The sequence below is a fragment of the Homo sapiens genome, chromosome 11 (genome assembly GCF_000001405.40).
Source record: "Homo sapiens chromosome 11, GRCh38.p14 Primary Assembly".
Classification (NCBI taxonomy): Eukaryota; Metazoa; Chordata; class Mammalia; order Primates; family Hominidae; genus Homo; species Homo sapiens.
In genome coordinates, this window is record NC_000011.10 from 6,907,683 (window position 1) to 6,927,217 (window position 19,535).

Here is a 19,535-nt window from a genome sequence, read left to right on the forward strand (position 1 = left end):
AAGCTAGCAGAAGGCAAGAAATAACTAAGATCAGAGCAGAACTGAAGGAAATAGAGACACAAAAAACCCTTCAAAAAATCAATGAATCCAGGAGCTGGTTTTGTGAAAAGATCAACAAAATTGATAGACTGCTAGCAAGACTAATAAAGAAGAAAAGAGAGAAGAATCAAATAGACACAATAAAAAATGACAAAGGGAATATCACCACCGATCCCACAGAAATACAAACTACCATCAGAGAATACTATAAACACCTCTACGCAAACAAACTAGAAAATCTAGAAGAAATGGATAAATTCCTTGACACATACACCCTCCCAAGACTAAACCAGGAAGAAGTTGAATCTCTGAATAGACCAATAACAGGCTCTGAAATTGAGGCAATAATTAATAGGTTACCAACCAAAAAAAGTCCAGGACCAGATGGATTCACAGCCGAATTCTACCAGAGGTACAAGGAGGAGCTGGTACCATTCCTTCTGAAACTATTCCAATCAATAGAAAAAGGGGGAATCCTCCCTAACTCATTTTATGAGGCCAGCATCATCCTGATACCAAAGCCTGGCAGAGACACACAAAAAAAGAGAATTTTAGACCAATATCCTTGATGAACATTGATGCAAAAATCCTCAATAAAATACTGGCAAACCAAATCCAGCAGCATATCAAAAAGCTTATTCATCATGATCAAGTGGGCTTCATCCCTCGGATGCAAGGCTGGTTCGACATATGAAAATCAATAAACATAATCCAGCACATAAACAGAACCAAAGACAAAAACCACATGATTATCTCAATAGATGCAGAAAAGGCCTTTGACAAAATTCAACAACCCTTCATACTAAAAACTCTCAATAAATTAGGTATTGATGGGACATATCTCAAAATAATAAGAGCTATCTATGACAAACCCACAGCCAATATCATACTGAATGGACAAAAACTGGAAGCATTCCCTTTGAAAACTGGCACAAGACAGGGATGCCGTCTCTCAACATTCCTATTCAAGATAGTGTTGGAAGTTCCAGCCAGGGAAATCAAGCAGGAGAAGGAAATAAAGGGCATTCAATTAGGAAAAGAGGAAGTCAAATTGTCCCTGTTTGCAGATGACATGATTGTATATCTAGAAAACCCCATCATCTCAGCCCAAAATCTCCTTAAGCTGATAAGCAACTTCAGCAAAGTCTCAGGATACAAAATCAATGTACAAAAATCACAAGCATTCTTATACACCAATAACAGACAAACAGAGAACCAAATCATGAGTGAACTCCCATTCACAATTGCTTCAAAGACAGTAAAATACCTAGGAATCCAACTTACAAGGGATGTGAAGGACCTCTTCAAGGAGAACTACAAACCACTGCTCAATGAAATAAAAGAGGATACAAACAAATGGAAGAACATTCTATGCTCATGGGTAGGAAGAATCAATATCGTGAAAATGGCCATACTGCCCAAGGTAATTTATAGATTCAATGCCATCCCCATCAGCTACCAATGACTTTCTTCACAGAATTGGAAAAAACTACTTTCAAGTTCATATGGAACCAAAAGAGCCTGCATTGCCAAGTCAATCCTAAGCCAAAAGAACAAAGCTAGAGGCATCACGCTACCTGACTTCAAACTATACTACAAGGCTACAGTAACCACAACAGCATGATATTGGTACCAAAACAGACATATAGACCAATGAAACAGAACAGAGCCCTCAGAAATAATGCTGCATATCTACAACTATCTGATCTTTGACAAACCCAACAAAAACAAGCAATGGGGAAAGGATTCCCTATTTAATAAATGGTGCTGGGAAAACTGGCTAGCCATATGTAGAAAGCTGAAACTGGATCCCTTCCTTACACCTTACACAAAGATTAATTCAAGATGGATTAAAGACTTAAACGTTAGACCTAAAACCATAAAAACCCTAGAAGAAAACCTAGGCATTACCATTCAGGACATAGGCATGGGCAAGGACTTCATGTCTAAAACACCAAAGCAATGGCAGCAAAAGCCAAAATTGACAAATGGGATCTAATTAAACTAAAGAGCTTCTGCACAGCAAAAGAAACTACCATCAGAGTGAACAGACAACCTACAGAATGGGAGAAAATTTTCGCAACCTACTCATCTGACAAAGGGCTAATATCCAGAATCTACAATGAACTCAAACAAATTTACAAGAAAAAAACAAACAACCCCATCAACAAGTGGGCGAAGGATATGAACAGACACTTCTCAAAAGAAGACATTTATGCAGCCAAAAAACACATGAAAAAATGCTCATCATCACTGGCCATCAAAGAAATGCAAATCAAAACCACAATGAGATACCATCTCACACCAGTTAGAATGGCGATCATTAAAAAGTCACGAAACAACAGGTGCTGGAGAGGATGTGGAGAAACAGGAACACTTTTACACTGTTGGTGGGACTGTAAACTAGTTCAACCATTGTGGAAGTCAGTGTGGTGATTCCTCAGGGATCTTGAACTAGAAATACCATTTGACCCAGCAATCTCATTACTGGGTATATACCTAAAGGATTATAAATCATGCTGCTGTAAAGACACATGCACACGTATGTTTATTGCGGCACTATTCACAATAGCAAAGACTTGGAACCAACCCAAATGTCCAACAATGATAGACTGGATTAAGAAAATGTGGCACATATACACCATGGAATACTATGCAGCCATAAAAAAGGATGAGTTCATGTCCTTTGTAGGGACATGGATGAAGCTGGAAACCATCATTCTCAGCAAACTATCACAAGGACAAAAAACCAAACACCGCATGTTCTCACTCATAGGTGGGAATTGAACAATGAGAACACATGGACACAGGAAGGGGAACATCACACACCAGGGACTGTTGTGGGGTGGGGCAGGGGGAGGGATAGCATTAGGAGATATACCTAATGCTAAATGACCAGTTAATGGGTGCAGCACACCAACATGGCACATGTATACATATGTAACAAACCTGCACATTGTGCACATGTACCCTAAAACTTAAAGTATAATAATAATAAAATTTAAAAAACCACACATTTAAAGCCTTCATTGTCATGTTTATATTAGGACGGTGCTAAGCAAATTATACTCCACTATGTAAGGTGGTCACACAGCACTCAAACAATCATGAACTGAAATGAAAGCACAGGCCTGAAATCAAGTTGGATTAGTCAATTAGAAAGTCAGCATCCAGGTGATCCAATACCTCCTCATTTTCATTTTTATTTAATTACCATATAAAGAAAGACACAAGTTTGAAAACTTATGAACCCCTGAGAATATATCTGTTGATGCCATTTTAAATGACAATGGTGTAAGGTTTGGAAGAAGCCTAAGTATGATTTAGAAACTTTAGTCTGTGGTTTCAAACATAATGCAAAGTGCCCCCCCAGGGTGTCTCAGAGGATGAAAAAAGGTAATAAAGTTGAGGGTTTTAAAAGCTCCAGGGAATGCCCTCTTGACGTAATTCTCAGGACCTCACTTTTAATTATTTTCTCAAAGAAAAATACGTTGTTCAGAAGTGTAACCTAGGTAAATTAGAATTTGTACCTTGAGCAAAGTAAAAAGGCTTGGAATGAAGTCAGACTCCTAGGATGACGCTAGTACAGGCCTTGGGAGGAATTGCTCAGGAGCCAACCTACAAACAGGTGAATGTCCTTGAAGTGTGGATCTGCAGACACAGAAGTTGCTCCCTTCCGTACTAGATCCTTGGTTCCTTCACCAGTGACCTCACAGTGCTGTTCCTGTTTTGTCTCTGCCCTCAGGTGAGAGAGAAGAAGCCACTGATAGGCCTCAAACTGTAGGATTCTCCAATACTGATTGGGGGTTGGAAGCGGGCAAGGTATTGGGAAGGTGAACTTTGTCATTTTATCGCTTACACATCAATTTTTCCCTTGCTAGATTCCCAGAGACAATTCAATTCCTACTCTTCTCCTCCAGAATCCCAGCCTGAAAACCCTCCTCCAGATCTTCTCCTTCATGGATAAGACTGTTTTCAGAGAGATCACAGAGGCTGTACCCTCCTACATTACTTTCCTCTTACTGTTGAAAAGTACCTCTGCCTGATTCTCCCCTGCCCTCGGCTGTCAGCCCTTCCGTCTTCATTGTCTCCCTCAGTTTGCATTTGTTCCACCATCTTCCCTAGTGTATGGCCCACTAAATAGGCAAAGAGCTGGAAGGACACTAGGAATCGTGCTTTCAGAAGCTTCATCAAGAGCTTGGTCATGCTCTGGGTCTAAGAGATATGAAAGAACCAAGATTGCATGAATACACTGTTGTAAGAATGCTGGCACTGCTGGCTCCAATCCCCTGGTGATCTAAGGCACATAGAGGAGAGTAGGTCCAATTACAATCAGTGCTGCCCTCCCAGAATGAGTAAGGATACCCACTACAGGTGCCATCACACATATACGCAATAAGCAAATATGCTTCCCATACAAGTCAGACAGAATAAGTTCCCACGTGACTCAGCCTTGGTCAGTATCCAGTTGGCTCAGTACCTCCTCTGATACTGTTTATTATGTGGAAGATTTGGTAGCCATGGGGATGCATAAAAAGAATATAAAATAATTGTGTGAGCGTATCTTGAATATCTGCATGTTCTATGAGATATTAAGTTTGTAAAGCTGAGAGGAAGTCCATGTGGCTTGGGATGTGTGTGTGTGACAAGGAAGAATTCCCTTGTGTGCAGCTCTGTGCCTGTGTGAGACTCTTAAGAGAAGATATCTGGCAAGGACATATTAATTAAAATGTTGTTAGGGCCTCAGAGAGATAACAGATTCATTTCTTGTCCTTTCAGTTTGGGGAAACAACCTGTCTTCCATCTCTCTTTCTGTACTCCTTTTCCTCTTTCTGCCTTCTCTCTACACCTCTGAATTCCTGACTTCTGTGTTCAGCTTCCCCTCCCTGATTTCTTCTAAAGTCTATTCTCTTTATTCTATTTTTACCAGTTATTTTTTCTTCTTCATTTTCTCTCTGCATTAGATAAAGAGATACCTTTGTTGAATTAATTAGGAAAGTTTACAAAGTTACATGAAATCTTCAGAGTGTGAAAGTATAATTATCCCTGGTCTTCCTTGGAATATGAGACTAAATTTCATCTTAGTCCTTTTGATTTATTTGACTCCTTTCCTGTTTTGAGATTAAGCCACATTCTTCCTAATCCACATATACACTCACATCCTGTCTTTGAGATATAGATAACCATTCCCTATATACTCTACCTGAATTCTAAGTTGTTATTGTGTGTTAAGAATTATTAGTGTGGTAAAGGTATTTTTTTAACAGTCATCTCTCACACACACGCTCTCATTCTCTTTCTCTACACACACACACACACACGCACGCACCATATATATAAATCATACCCATACACGCAATTTTGTAACCTACTTTTTAAATTCAACAGTATGTCAAACATCTTTCCATGGGAAATACATATCTACTTAAATTTTTAATGATAAAATTTATCATATTATCATCATAATAATAACCATCAACATTGCAGTCATTTCTTTACTGCAGTTTCTAGGCATAATGCAAATTTTCCACTAAGTTCTTAATTTAGTCTTTACATCTATATTATGAAGTTGTGGTTTTATGTTCATTTTACAAATTAGGAAACAGACAAAAAGGAGTTAAATTGTCTAAAGTTACAGAGCTAGGAAATAGGGAACAAAGATTCAACCAGGTATGTGTGACTAAGACGTCTGCACTCTTACCCACTTCTCTATACTGCATAGGTTCTATTATATAGGAAAACTATAATTTATTTAACGCAACACCTATTATTTGACTGTGGGTTGATTTAGTCTGGAAATAATTCTGGGTGTGAGTATCCTCTGAAACAAAGCTTTGTGCATACCTATAATTATTTCCAAAATATAAAGTCCTAAAACTTGAGCTGTTCAGGAAAAAAGAAAAGTTCATTTTATAATTTTTAAATATCTTCAAGTTGACTTGCAGAGAGATTTTATAAATGTACATGCCTACATTTTTCGTATCTGTTTGTTCTACTCTCAAAAATATAGTGGGTGATTTCAATCTATTTCATCTTTTCTAAAATGATGAGAAAGAAACAGTAACTACTTGTTTTATTTTACATTTCTCTGATTCTGAGTGAGGATGAACATTCTTTACATAGTTAGCTTTTTGGGTATTTGAATTTCTTTTATGAATTGCTCATTAACATTTCTTTTTCCATCCTTTCCATTGAGAAGTTCTTCCTATTCTTGATTTTTAAAGGCTCTTTGATGTGGTAGTTTTTCTATTTGTTACTTACATTTTACATATATGTGTTCTTTAACCATTCATTTAAAATAGTTGTATAATAAAATATACCAATCTTAAGTTAATGGTTATGGTTTTCATCATGTCCTTAGAAGGTCCTTTCCCACTCAAAGATTACAGAAAATAATTTAATCTTTACATCCATATTATGAAGTTGTGGTTTTACTTTCATTTTACAAATGGTTTTCATGGTGTCCTTAGAAGGTCCTTTCTCACTCAAAGATTACAGCAAATATTCACCTATTATTTCTCCTAGCAATATTAGGGGGTGTTTTTATTTTTTTTGTTTTATATTGAGATATTTAATCCATCTAGATTTTGGAGAAGAACTGATGTGAAAATACTTTCTTTCTCAACAAATAATCAGATATTCTAACACCATTTTAAATAATACACCCTTCTATCAATTTAGATGACATCTTTATCATTTGTTCCTCTATATACTTGAGTTTGAGTCATTTCTCTATTTTAATCCATTGAGGCATTGATATCTGCACTAGTACAATGCATATAAATTATCCTAATAGTAAATCATAAGGTTGGATAGGTTAAATCTCCCCACCCTCCCCATAACCACAATTCTTTTTCATATTTTTCAGATTTTTTTCTCTGAATATTTTTACATGTATTCATCTGGGTAAACTTTAAAATTATTTTGTTAAGTTTCCCATCAGAGATTGTTTATTGGCTTTGATTATAACCGCAGTTATTTTTTAGATAATTACTGGGGAATATTTCTCAAAATATGATTCATGGAATACTCATATCAAAATCACCAAACTGACTTGTTAAAAGGCAAATTTAATTGTTCAACCACAAACCTACTGAGAATCTCTAGAACTCAGGAACTTTTATTTTTAACAACCTCTCACAGAGAGAATTATTAGGGACGTTAATATATGAGAATCAATAATTTGTTAATGATATCTTTACAATATTTAAATCTTACATCTAGAAATTAGGTTTATTTCTCTATTTATGCATGTTGACTTTTCCTGTATTCTTTCTGAACATATTCATGTTAAATTCACACCTACATATTTTGGCAAAATATATATGTCTATATATAGATTTTTTTTGAGACAGAGTCTCACTCTATTGCTCAGGCTGGAGTGCGGTGGTGTGCTCTCAGCTCACTGTAACCTCTCCCTCCTGGGTTCAAGTGATTTTTCTGCCTCAGCCTCCTGAGTAGCTGGGACTACAGGCATGTGCCACCACGTGCGGCTACTTTTTGTAGAGACAGAGTTTCACCATATTGGCTGGGCTGGTCTCGAACTCCTGACCTCGTGATCCACCTGAGTCAGCCTCCCAAAGTGCTGAGATTACAGGCGTGAGCCACTGTGTCCGGCCATTAATTATATATTTTTAAAATTAATTTTATAATTAGTTCTGATTAATATATAAGAAAACCATGCACATAGTTACATATATGTAACTTACCTATTTACAGATTTTTTATTAGAACCAGTTTTCAGATTATATAAAAATTTACAAACAGAAAATCAACCTACAAGTAGTGATAAATTTACCCTCTCCTTTCCAATAATTATACCTGTCATTTCTAGTTTATATTTCTAATTTTTATTTCATTAGCTAACTCTTGGCAAATAAACAGACACCTTTTTTGTAACTCAGAATTTAATGTGAATATTTCTAGTATTTCACCATTAAGCACAATGCTAGCATTTTGTTTCAAATATCTATTATACAAAAGAAGAAATACTCAGATTTCTTCTTTAAAAAGTATACTTAAGTTCCTGTTTGACTCAAACTACTTATCAAGAATGAAATATGAACTTTATCAAGTATCTTTTGAGGCATTTACTAAGATATTTTTTCCCATTCTAATCTATTAATATGAAGAATTGTTTCAATAAATTTACTAATGTTGGCCTAAATAAGCACTTATGGTAAAAGCTCACTTGATCACAATGTTTTATTACAATGGAATACTGCTGTTATCTATACACTTTCATTTTATTTTGACTTTACGTCTATTTTATATGTATTCATTTAATGTCAACTTCATTAAAAAATTGACTTTTCCTTTTTTCTCTACAAATGAAGTAAATGAAATAGTAATCACCATTCCTTAAAAGTTCAAAATAATTCTGAATTTGTTAAAATGCTATTTTTATTATAATGCAGTTTAAAATTTCACTTGATTTCCTCTTTGACTCATGTGTTATTTACAATTGTATTGATTAATTTCCAAATGCTTGGGGATTTTCTAGATTTTGTTATTGGTTTATAATGTAATTCTGTCATGGTCAGGGAAATATGCCTTATGTGATTTCAATCCCGTGTTATTGAGACTTGATTTACTGTCTAGCATATATAGTCTAACTTTGGTGAACATTCCCTTTGCATTTGAAAAGAATACATATGCTGTACTTATTGGGTAGAGTAATCTATAAACGTCCTTTAGGCTAAGTTGGTTGTTCATGTTGTTCAAGTCTTCTGTATCCTCATGGATTTTCTATTTGTTCTGTCAGGAAGACTGTTGAAATCTTCAAATATTTCTCTGTTTTTTTTGCTAATTATCCTTTCAGTTACATCAATTTTTCTTTGTACATTTTGAAGTTTCATTAAGTGCATTCATATTAAGTATGGTTTTGTCTTTGTGGTGAATGACACTTTTATCATTATGAAATGTCCTTCTTTGTTTCTGGTAATACTTCATATTCATATATTCCAGTTTTTCTATGACTAGTGTTTTTGTGGTATATTCTTTTTCATCCTTTTATTTTCACACAACTGTTTTTATGTTTAAAAATGAATCCCTTGTAGACAACACATTACGTCTTTTTTGTCCAATCTGACAATCACTGCCTTTAATTAGAATGTTTAGTCCATTTATTTTTATTTTCTTTTTTTTTTTCTTTTTTTTTTTTTTTTGAGATGGAGTCTCGCTCTGTTACCCAGGTTGGAGTGCAGTGGCGTGCTCTCGGCTCACTGCAAGTTCTGCCTACCGGGTTCATGCCATTCTCCTGCCTCAGCCTCCCCAGTAGCTGGGACTACAGGCGCCCGTCATCACACCCGGCTTTTTGTATTTTTTTTTTTTTTTAGTAGAGATGGGGTTTCACCATGTTAGCCAGGATGATCTAGATCTCCTGACCTCGTGATCCGCCCGCCTTGGCCTCCCAAAGTGCTGAGATTACAGGCGTGAGCCACTGCACCCAGCCGCCCATTTATTTTTCATATAATTATGGATACAATTTAAGTCTACCATCTTACTTGCTTTGTAATATTCCTATCTATTCTTTGTTCTTTTATCCTCCTTTCTTGCTTTCTTCTTGAGTACCTAAAAATTATTCTATTTTTAGTTTTATTTTTAACTATAACTCTTATTTTATATTTTAATGGTTATTCTAGGGGTTACATTATGTATCCTTGACTCATCACGATCCTCTCTTACTGCCTACCCTCTCTGAGGTATCACCTTAGTGCCAGGGGTTTTCAGTGAAGGTTCTTTACTCTGGCAGACTGAAATTCCAAAATCTTGTAGCCTTCCATGAGCCCTCTGGCAGTTGCTGTTTTGGGACTTGGCAGTTCTATCCTGCGTATGTATAGTTTAATATTCAGCCAAGACTCAGAGAGATTCCTGAAGTCCCTATCTGCAGCTTCTTCCATTCTGCTATTCCCTTCCATAATTCAAGCTATCAATTATGGATCTCCGTCTCATCAGTTCAGCAAGGGTCTCATGCTCTCCTTAGGCTCCCGCTCTGTGGACCACAGTCCTGAAAGTGCCTCCAGGCATAAAGCTAGTGTGATCATAGGGCTTACCTTGTTTGTTTCCTTGCTATATGGCATTATTTTCTGAGTTGGCTGTTTGTTGTTCAAGGTCTGAAAATAGCTGTTTCACATATTTTGTTTTATATTTGCTTTCTGCAAGAGGGCTAGTCCTATAACAGTTACTTTATCAAGACTTCTTATCAAGCAGAAGTAAAGAAGTGACTTTAGAGCATCCTCAATTAGGTGCTACTAAATTTTCCCATTTTTATTTTTTTCTTATATTGGTAATGTAGGGCTTTTTAAAGTATCAACACATTAGAAAAGAATAAAAGTAACCTACCCGTAATTCCAGTACCCAGGGTCAACCACTCTCAACATTTTGGAAATTTTTTTCTTCTAGTCTTTTCTGTGCATTTTGAAAACATATATTAGCATTGGTCTCTAAGACAATAGCAAAACCACTTTTGGTAAGTACCAATGGGAGGTGATTCTCATTATTATTGATAATGATATTAATAATCATTATCTGTAGGATCCAAAGGAAATAGTAGTGATCATATAGACCTAGACCACCAGAGAAGGGGAAAAAGAAAATGACAGGTCCAACTATTCTGGAGGCTGAGGTAGAAGGTTGACTTGACCCCAGGAGTTTGAGGCTGTTGTGAGCTACAATAGCACTGCTGCACTCCAGCCTGGGTGACAGAGCAAGACCCTGCCTCTAAAAAAAAAAAAAAAGAAAATAAAGAAAGAGAAAAAGAAAAGGAAAAAAAGAAATGACAGACATTACTTTGGGGCTAACAGTGATATGTTCCTAAGAACATATAAGTTATTCTCTGTGGAATTTCAGAAATAATTGCAGGAGAAGAAGTGGTTCTTTGAATAGGCTGTTTCACTAATTTTGATAACTCCAATTATAGCTAAATAAATAGATACTGTGCCCTTATATTGTTGATATTTTGCCCATATTGTGCCCCCTTTCACTGTTGCAGCTACATATATTTGAAAACATGCTATAAGTAAATTTTTGAGACTAAATTTTGAGTATGGGGCAAATTTTTCCCTGCCACATTCTATTCAGAACTGGGTCAAAACACATGAATATTTAAGACTTTTACTGTAATTGGCAAAATTACTTTCCAGAAAGAGTAATACAAATTTTCCTAACCACTTGCTTTTGCAAATGTGTCCTGTTTTTGTACCTTCATTATACAGCTAATTAATTCTATACTTGTTAATTGTATAATTTGGGGACAGTAACTTAACCTTTCTGTGCCTCAGTTTCCTTATCTATAAGACAAAATTAATAGTATTTTAATTTACCTCATAATGTTATTGGGAAGATATAATAATATAAAACCCTAAAATTAATGCTGTTATGGGTTCAATGCTTAATGAATATACTAGTTATTTTTTGTTAAGGTTTTGGTGTTAAAATCTTAGATAATTACGCAAGTGAAAATTTATCTTTCATTGTTTTAATTATTGAGTTATAATAATATTGAATATTTTTCTTATATTTAGTAGCTATTTGTATTTCTTCTTTTAAATAGTCTGTTCATATCTTTGGCCCATTATTTCTTGGACTTCACAATTTTCATATAGCTTTCTACAAACTCTTAATGTAATCAGGTCATTTAATTTGACTTCTTTTCCTATTTGGATGCCTTTCATTTTTTTCTCTTCTAGTACTATATTGAATATGAGTGGTAAGAGTGGGTATCCTTGTCTTGTTCCAGTTCTCAGTCAGAATGGTTCCAGCTTTTGCCCATTCAGTAAGATGTTGGCTGTGGGTCTGTTACTGATATACCATCTTTCACCAATCAGAATGGCTTTCATCAAAAAGTCAAGAAATAACATATGATGGTGAGGCTGCAGAAAAAAGGGAACACTAATACGCTGTTAGTAGAAGGTAAATTAGTGCAGCCACTGTGGAGAGCAGTTTAGGGACTTCTCAAGGAACTAAGAATTAAAGTAATATTTGATCCAACAATCCCACTGCTGTATATACACCCAAAGGAAAATAAATCATTCCACCAAAAAGACACACACAATTATATGTTCATCACAGCACTATTCACAATAAAAAAGACATGGAATCAACCCAGGTGCCCATCAGTGGTGGACTGGATAAAGAAAATGTGGAACATATACACAATGGAATATTATGCAGCCATGAAAAAGAATGAAATCATGTTCTTCACAGCAACATGAATGCAGCTCAAAGCCATTATCCTAAGCGAACTAATGCAGGAACAGGAAACCAAATATCACATGTTCTTACTTGTAAGTGGGAGCTAAACATTGGGTACACATTGACATAAAGATGGGAACGACAGACTCTGGGGATGACTAGAGTGGGGAGAGTAAGGGGGTAAACGGCTGAAAAACTACTTCTTGGGTACTATGCTCACTACTTGGGTGGCAGATTGATTTGTACACCAAACCTTAGCATTTGTACTCCAAACTTTGTAACAAACCTGCATGTGTACCTTAATTCTGAAATAAAAGTTGAAGAAAAATAAAATTATTTAAATTTTTTTTCTGATACCTCTCTCCAATATTTTTCTCAGTTTGTGGCTTATCTTATGATACTATTATCTCACAGAAGTCTTTCCATTTGTGTGGCAAATTCTGCATATATTTTTCTCCATGGTTTCTTAGAAAGTATTTGTGTTTTTCAAGTCTGGTCCTATCCAAGTATCACAACAATTTTAACTTATTTTTTCTTTTTGTATTGCTTTAATTTTAATATCTTATTTCTTAATCCAAATAGTTTGGCCTTTAGTGTAGTATAGCTAAGGCTTTACTTTTAAATCCAGCAAAAGTCTGTTGCTTCTTAATAGGTCAAATTAAGTTTGATTCCTGAAAACTGCTTCACAGTTTTGAAGTATGTGTTATAATTAAATATGTCGTATTTTAAATAGTTAGTGGTAGAGTTTTCTGCATAAGGATAGTCCTAACAGTATATACAGTCATTTCCTAACAGTATATTTATAGCCAGTTAGTAAAATCCACATGAACTCTAACATCCTTACATCAGAACTAGCCAAGAGGGCTTTCACAGTATCATACTTTATCTATTAAAAAGCGGCACTGTGGAGAGAGGACTTGGAAAATAACTAAGTTGGTTTAAATTGCAACCAACTAATAATAATAAATATATATATTTATTGTTAATTAGAACAAGCTAGATAGCAAAGAGCTAGAAATACTCAACTAGGTGTCAGTTTTAACATGACCCTCTTCTACAAGACTTGATGTCACAGACCCAAAAAAATGTGTTCTTTTTTCTTGTGCCAAACAGGTAAACAGGCAAAAATATCAATGGGAGAAGAAAACCAAACCTTTGTGTCCAAGTTTATCTTCCTGGGTCTTTCACAGGACTTGCAGACCCAGATCCTGCTATTTATCCTTTTCCTCATCATTTATCTGCTGACCGTGCTTGGAAACCAGCTCATCATCATTCTCATCTTCCTGGATTCTCGCCTTCACACTCCCATGTATTTTTTTCTTAGAAATCTCTCCTTTGCAGATCTCTGTTTCTCTACTAGCATTGTCCCTCAAGTGTTGGTTCACTTCTTGGTAAAGAGGAAAACCATTTCTTTTTATGGGTGTATGACACAGATAATTGTCTTTCTTCTGGTTGGGTGTACAGAGTGTGCGCTGCTGGCAGTGATGTCCTATGACCGGTATGTGGCTGTCTGCAAGCCCCTGTACTACTCTACCATCATGACACAACGGGTGTGTCTCTGGCTGTCCTTCAGGTCCTGGGCCAGTGGGGCACTAGTGTCTTTAGTAGATACCAGCTTTACTTTCCATCTTCCCTACTGGGGACAGAATATAATCAATCACTACTTTTGTGAACCTCCTGCCCTCCTGAAGCTGGCTTCCATAGACACTTACAGCACAGAAATGGCCATCTTTTCAATGGGCGTGGTAATCCTCCTGGCCCCTGTCTCCCTGATTCTTGGTTCTTATTGGAATATTATCTCCACTGTTATCCAGATGCAGTCTGGGGAAGGGAGACTCAAGGCTTTTTCCACCTGTGGCTCCCATCTTATTGTTGTTGTCCTCTTCTATGGGTCAGGAATATTCACCTACATGCGACCAAACTCCAAGACTACAAAAGAACTGGATAAAATGATATCTGTGTTCTATACAGCGGTGACTCCAATGTTGAACCCCATAATTTATAGCTTGAGGAACAAAGATGTCAAAGGGGCTCTCAGGAAACTAGTTGGGAGAAAGTGCTTCTCTCATAGGCAGTGACCTCTGAGTCTGACTTTTAGAGCTATGGCAACATTCTTTAAAAAGGAGCAAGATTTTAGTAGGCAATTATGAATTAGGTTATTTCAGGAAGAAGTGTGAAAATGAACATGTTCTAAAAACTGTGAATACTACAATCTAAACTAGAACATAGGGAAAAAATAAAAGCATGAAAAGTTAGGTCATTTCTTGATTGTAAAAGGTGTTGGGTGCTACTGTGAGGAGTTTGTAGTTAATTCAGCTGCCATGGCATGTTTTAAGCACAGTCACAATTGAATCTAGGAGGTTTCAACCAGATTATTCTGAAATAACAGCTAATACAAATTGCAAGCATAATTCTAACATCAAAGATATCTCAAGTTTGTATGTCTTCAGCATACAAACCTTAGAATAGGCTCTGATTAAAACAATTAAAATATCTGTAAGAGTCTTTAATACTGGGTTCATTAGATCCTAGAGCACTTCAGCTTGTGAAAAGGTACCAGAGGAAATAATACTTCCTAGTTCTTCATGATCTCTCCTGAAAACCCCCCAAAATTTTATATAATCACCTCAAATTTCGTGTAAGCATAGACTATCAGAGTAAAAAGGGAATTCAATAGTAAAATAATCCAACCACATATCTGAGGCTTAAATTATTTCATAATATCTCATCAAATAATTGTTCAGCATTTGCCTAACCAGGAATGACACAGCTCCTTACTCGGGCCACTCTCTTTCATATAAAGGTAGTTTTTACTATTATAGAGATCTTCCTCATGATAAGTCAAAATCAGTTTTCCTGTATCTTCAATCTAGTTTCTCTAGTTTTAGTCCTAGAGCAATTGTCATTATTCTTCAATACTAGAACATACTGAGGTCAATTTCTGTATTTGCCCAAATTCAATTGTCTCTGCCAACTGCCCACTAGTTTCTTTACAATTTCTTTATCTAATATGCTTTGGTACCCTGTATTATCTTGGTCATCCTCTTTTGAATGAGCCCAATTTACCTAAAGAGTATTTCTTTAAAAAATAAAAGAGAAATTAGAATTTGGGGTGACCCCTTCATAGGCTTCAATGCCTGCACACCATGTCACACTGTGGCCCAACTTCTCTAAAATAGTCAATTCCAGAGTCTACTTCAGTTCCTCACAAACCCATAATACAAATAAACTGGCTGGTAGCCTCTTCGCTCTTTCACTTAAAACTTCTAACATTCACATGTTTAGAGGAGATTCTAAGTCACATGTTTAGAGGTGGTTTTCCATGGTAACTATTCTACAGCCATCACGCACTTGGGGTCCAGAAACCACAGACCTCAGATTGACTGTGTAGAAGTCCCCTCCAGTGAAGAACTATCCAATAGCTGTACTTATTTCTTTCTTCTTTAATTCATGTATACATGTGTCCATTTTTAAACCAGCTATTGATCTCTTACTTCATTTTATCTTCTCCAACTCTGAGTGTATTTGGTATACTCAGAGTAATGACTGAGACATAACGTATATTAATACACATTTTTTACTATCTTTTTAAAATTTACTGGAACTGTACCACAATAGGCAAACTTTAATCTGGGGTATGATAATCACTAAAAACCTTCATTCAAATGATATGTGTTAGTTGAGGTGATATAGAGAAGGATAAGAAATTTTTAGTTGAATTTGGTAACTTTGGCTGCTGGTTATGATCTAGATGAGATCTATTTCAGTGAATAGAGGAAAAATAAGAAAATGTAAACAGACATTTGGAGATGTTTTACCATGAGGGAGAAGGAGGAAATGAGGTATGGTTAGGAAAGTGGGATTCTGGGGGTTTTATTCATTTTATTTTATTTTAGATGCTTAGGCTACTCCCCCACCCATTCCTTGCAGATTCTAGCCCCTGACTCACTGCCACTCTCCTGAAGATACTGCTCCTGTGTTATAGTTGTTGGTTATTTTAATTTTCCCATAGAATGAAATATTCAAATAGTTTGCATTCTGAGATTCCTTAATCCTCGCTTCTCCAATGATTACAGCTACTCATTCCCATGGTCATATCTTAAATATTGGTGTTAATGATAACTGCCATCCCATCTGACCAAATTTCAAACACACTCCTGAGTAAAACAAAATGATTGCTATTTTAAAGCACTAAAGTTTGAAATGGTCTGTATGCAGCAATGGATTACTGACACACTGAGAATTATGTTCCCACTCATTCCACCAAAATAGATGCCAATGGGGCTTCTTCACAAAGCTGTCTGCATGAAACCACTACATACTAGGGAGGGAAGGGGAAAATAAAGACAAAAAATTCTAATGAAAACATACTTAATACATACACCTAGAAATCATCATAATGATGACGTATCAGTCAGGGCTTTTAGTTTCAAGCAACAGAAACTAAGCATGATTTAAGCTAAACGTAAAAATATTGAAATAGTATTCGAGTCATGTAGCCAGAACCACAGACCAAAATTGTACCACAGAATTGGCTCTATGAGGACAAGACTTCCATTCAGCACTAGAAGCATGATTTACCTGCCAACACCATCAGCACAGGACACTGCTGCCGGAGCTGCTGATTCTGGAAACTGAATATTGCTGCATCCATTGCCACTGTTGGAAAGAAAAAAAATGTCTTCTGACAAACACAACCTGAGTCAGGCGATCAAATTGAACACCAACAATGATAAGTCATGTTGATAGTATGTACCTGTGATATGATATAATAAAAATGGCACTCTATCTCTGTGACCTTCATCTCCAGTCTAATCATAGGAAAAATATCAGAAAACTCCCAATAGAGGGAGATCATACAAAATACTTGACCAGTACTCCTCAACACTGCCAAGGTTAGGAAACACAAGGAAAGTATGAGAAATCGTCACAGTCCAGAAGAGCCTAAAGAGACATGACAACTAAATGTAATGTGATATTCCAGTTGGGATCCTGCATCAGAGGAAAGAAAAAAGATAAAAACAAAACAAATAAACCAGCTAAAGAAGTCTGGTCCTTACCAGCCTGGACAACATGGCAAAAATCCATCTCTACAAAAAATAAATTTAAAAAAAAATTAGCCAGGCATGGTGGCAAGCACCTGTAGTTCCAGCTACTTGGGAGGCTGAGATGGGAGAATCACTTGAGCTCAGGGAGGTCCAGGCTGCAGTGAGCTGTCACACCACTGTACTCCAGCCTGGCAGCCTGGGTGACAGAGTGAGACCCAGTCAAAAAAAGAAGAAAGAAAGAAAAGAAGCAAGCAAGCAAGAGAGAAAAAGAAAGAAAGAAAGAAAGAAAGAAGAAAGAAAGGAAAGAAAGAAAGAGAAAGAAAGAAAAGAAAAGAAAAAAGCAAAGAAAATAAGAAATCTGAATAAAGTATTGTGGACTTAATGTATCAATGTTATTTTATTTTTTATTTTTATATTTTATTTTTATTTTCTTAGTTGTAACAAATATACCATAATAATTTAAGAGGGTAATAACAGGGAAAACTAGTTGTGGAGTAGAAGGTAACTCTGTATATTACCTTCTCAATTTTTCCAAAACTGTAAATCCAAAACTGCTCTAAAAAATAAGGTCTATTTAAAAAGAAATAAAAGAAACTATATGGTGTGTCCTTGTTTTTTTGTGTCACTAGCTGTTCAAAGTTGCCATCTTGTTTTACCTTAGTCCACTCCTGGCCTAGATATAAAGCTCTCTCTGGTTTAAGTTCTTTCACTCTGCTCCTACAGCACTGTCCACATGCCTCTAGGCAAGCACTAATCATATTATCATGTACTTAATGCCACCAAGCATTCTCTCCTTTGTGACACACACATCCCTTCCCTCTGTGTCTCCACACCCACCAGATTTCCTCCTACCTCTCAGGCTGATCCTCCTCTCTCTTTTTTGCAGGTCCGCCTTCCTGACTCAACCAATGGTGTTGGTGTTCCCTGGGCCAATTCCAGCCCATTTCCTTCTATTTTCTCTCTTCCTCTCTGTCCCTTTCTCTGCAGTCCTATTCCAATGGATAGCATCAATCACCATCTACCCAGATTGACCCAAATTTTACAGGTCTAGCCCCAGACATCTCTAAATTCCCAAATGCCTACATCCAAATGCCTAATTGACAATGCTTCTCAGATGCCACAAAGTACCTCAGTCTTAACAAGCCAAAACTGAACAACGAACTGCAAGCCCTCTCACTTCCATACAAAACTGAATGAATGAATCTGTGAACCAATAAACCAATAAAGACCATGTAAGAGACAATGTCTTGTCGAAATTGTCATTGTTTTTTGATTCCAGACAAATGGGGTGTGGGGAACAGAAAGGCGATTTGGACTAGTTTCCCCGGACGGGATGAGGCAGCGCCGGAAGTATGACGCTCATTTCTTTAAGCCACTAGAAGCTCACCGTGAGTCCATTCACAGGGCCAGAGTTCCAAGTGTGCGGCGTGGGCGGGGCCTGCAGAAAGGGACGGGGCCTGCAGAAAGGGACGGGGCTGGCAAAGGCCTGGTCTACCTCACCGATCCGGGTCGCGGGGGCTCCTAGGGGGTTCCTTCCACAGCTGGTGCGCGTGCGCAAGAGTGCGTCGAGGTTGTTCCGCGGCAATTTATGAAACTCGGAGCCGGCAGTGAGTTGAGGGTTCGGCGAGGTCAGGGATTCCTAGTTGCAGCGTGATTACCAACGCCAGCTCCCTTCACTGTCCAAGACAGCGATTCCGCGGCTCCTCTGAGAACTGGCGCTTGTGAGTGACTGAACGGGCCACTGGAGAGGAGCGGTGCTCACGGGTATCGTTCTCGTCAGCGGGCGGTGGGGACGCGGGGTCTTGGAATTGGGAATCACGCTTGAGGGCGTCCATGCGGAACGTGCAGCTTACCTCAGCTTGCTTGCAGTTACCCAGTTTCCACGCTGCCCTCCAAGGTCTGTGCCGGAAAACCTGGAGGAGGGCGCGAGCTGACGGGAGGGATGGAAACGTGGGCTGCGGAAGTAAGACAAGCGTTGAGAGCAGCGACAGAGGGCGAGGGGGTGGGCGGCGGGACGGCTGGGGTCAGGATCCAGCTCCGCTAAAGCAAGGATTTAACCACACTCCTGTCGCCTCTTCCACTCTGCAATAGGGGCAGTCTCCAGACGCGCAGAGTGGTTAGTATGTTATGATCAGCTGGTTTGGGAATGGCTGGTATTGATGCCTCATGGAAAAACCAAGCGTGACTGGATCAATCAACTGGGAAAGACAATGGAGTTTTAATTAATTCATATTGCCTTGTTTTCCCAGTCAT

General features: G+C 37.3%; 2 protein-coding genes and 1 long non-coding RNA gene across 22 annotated transcripts in view; 2 read left to right on the forward strand and 1 right to left on the reverse strand.

The window, feature by feature from the left end:
- The window catches only part of LOC107984019 (uncharacterized), a 49,559-nt gene that overhangs the window by 9,770 nt on the left and 20,254 nt on the right, over nucleotides 1-19,535 (reverse strand). For 2 of the 3 annotated variants that reach the window (XR_001748111.2, XR_007062575.1), the window contains exons 2-3: nucleotides 18,670-19,480; nucleotides 16,816-16,893 (exon numbers count right to left, since the gene is read on the reverse strand). This is a non-coding gene — a long non-coding RNA (uncharacterized LOC107984019). Of the gene's footprint in view, nucleotides 1-16,815; nucleotides 16,894-18,134; nucleotides 19,481-19,535 lie in introns of all 3 variants that reach the window. The other variant, XR_001748112.3, reaches the window with a different exon arrangement.
- On the forward strand, nucleotides 13,320-14,312 carry OR2D3 (olfactory receptor family 2 subfamily D member 3). The gene has a single exon (NM_001004684.1). It carries the CDS (start codon nucleotides 13,320-13,322, stop codon nucleotides 14,310-14,312), a length of 993 nt encoding a protein of 330 aa, NP_001004684.1.
- ZNF215 (zinc finger protein 215) overlaps nucleotides 18,744-19,535 on the forward strand; it is a 67,998-nt gene continuing 67,206 nt past the window's right edge. For 6 of the 18 annotated variants that reach the window (XR_002957191.2, XM_024448683.2, XM_047427567.1 and 3 more), the window contains exon 1: nucleotides 18,744-19,003. The gene's annotated coding sequence lies outside the window, so the exon portion shown is untranslated. Of the gene's footprint in view, nucleotides 19,180-19,280; nucleotides 19,399-19,535 lie in introns of those variants that run through there. The other 12 variants (NR_149005.2, XM_047427572.1, XM_047427569.1 and 9 more) reach the window with 4 other exon arrangements.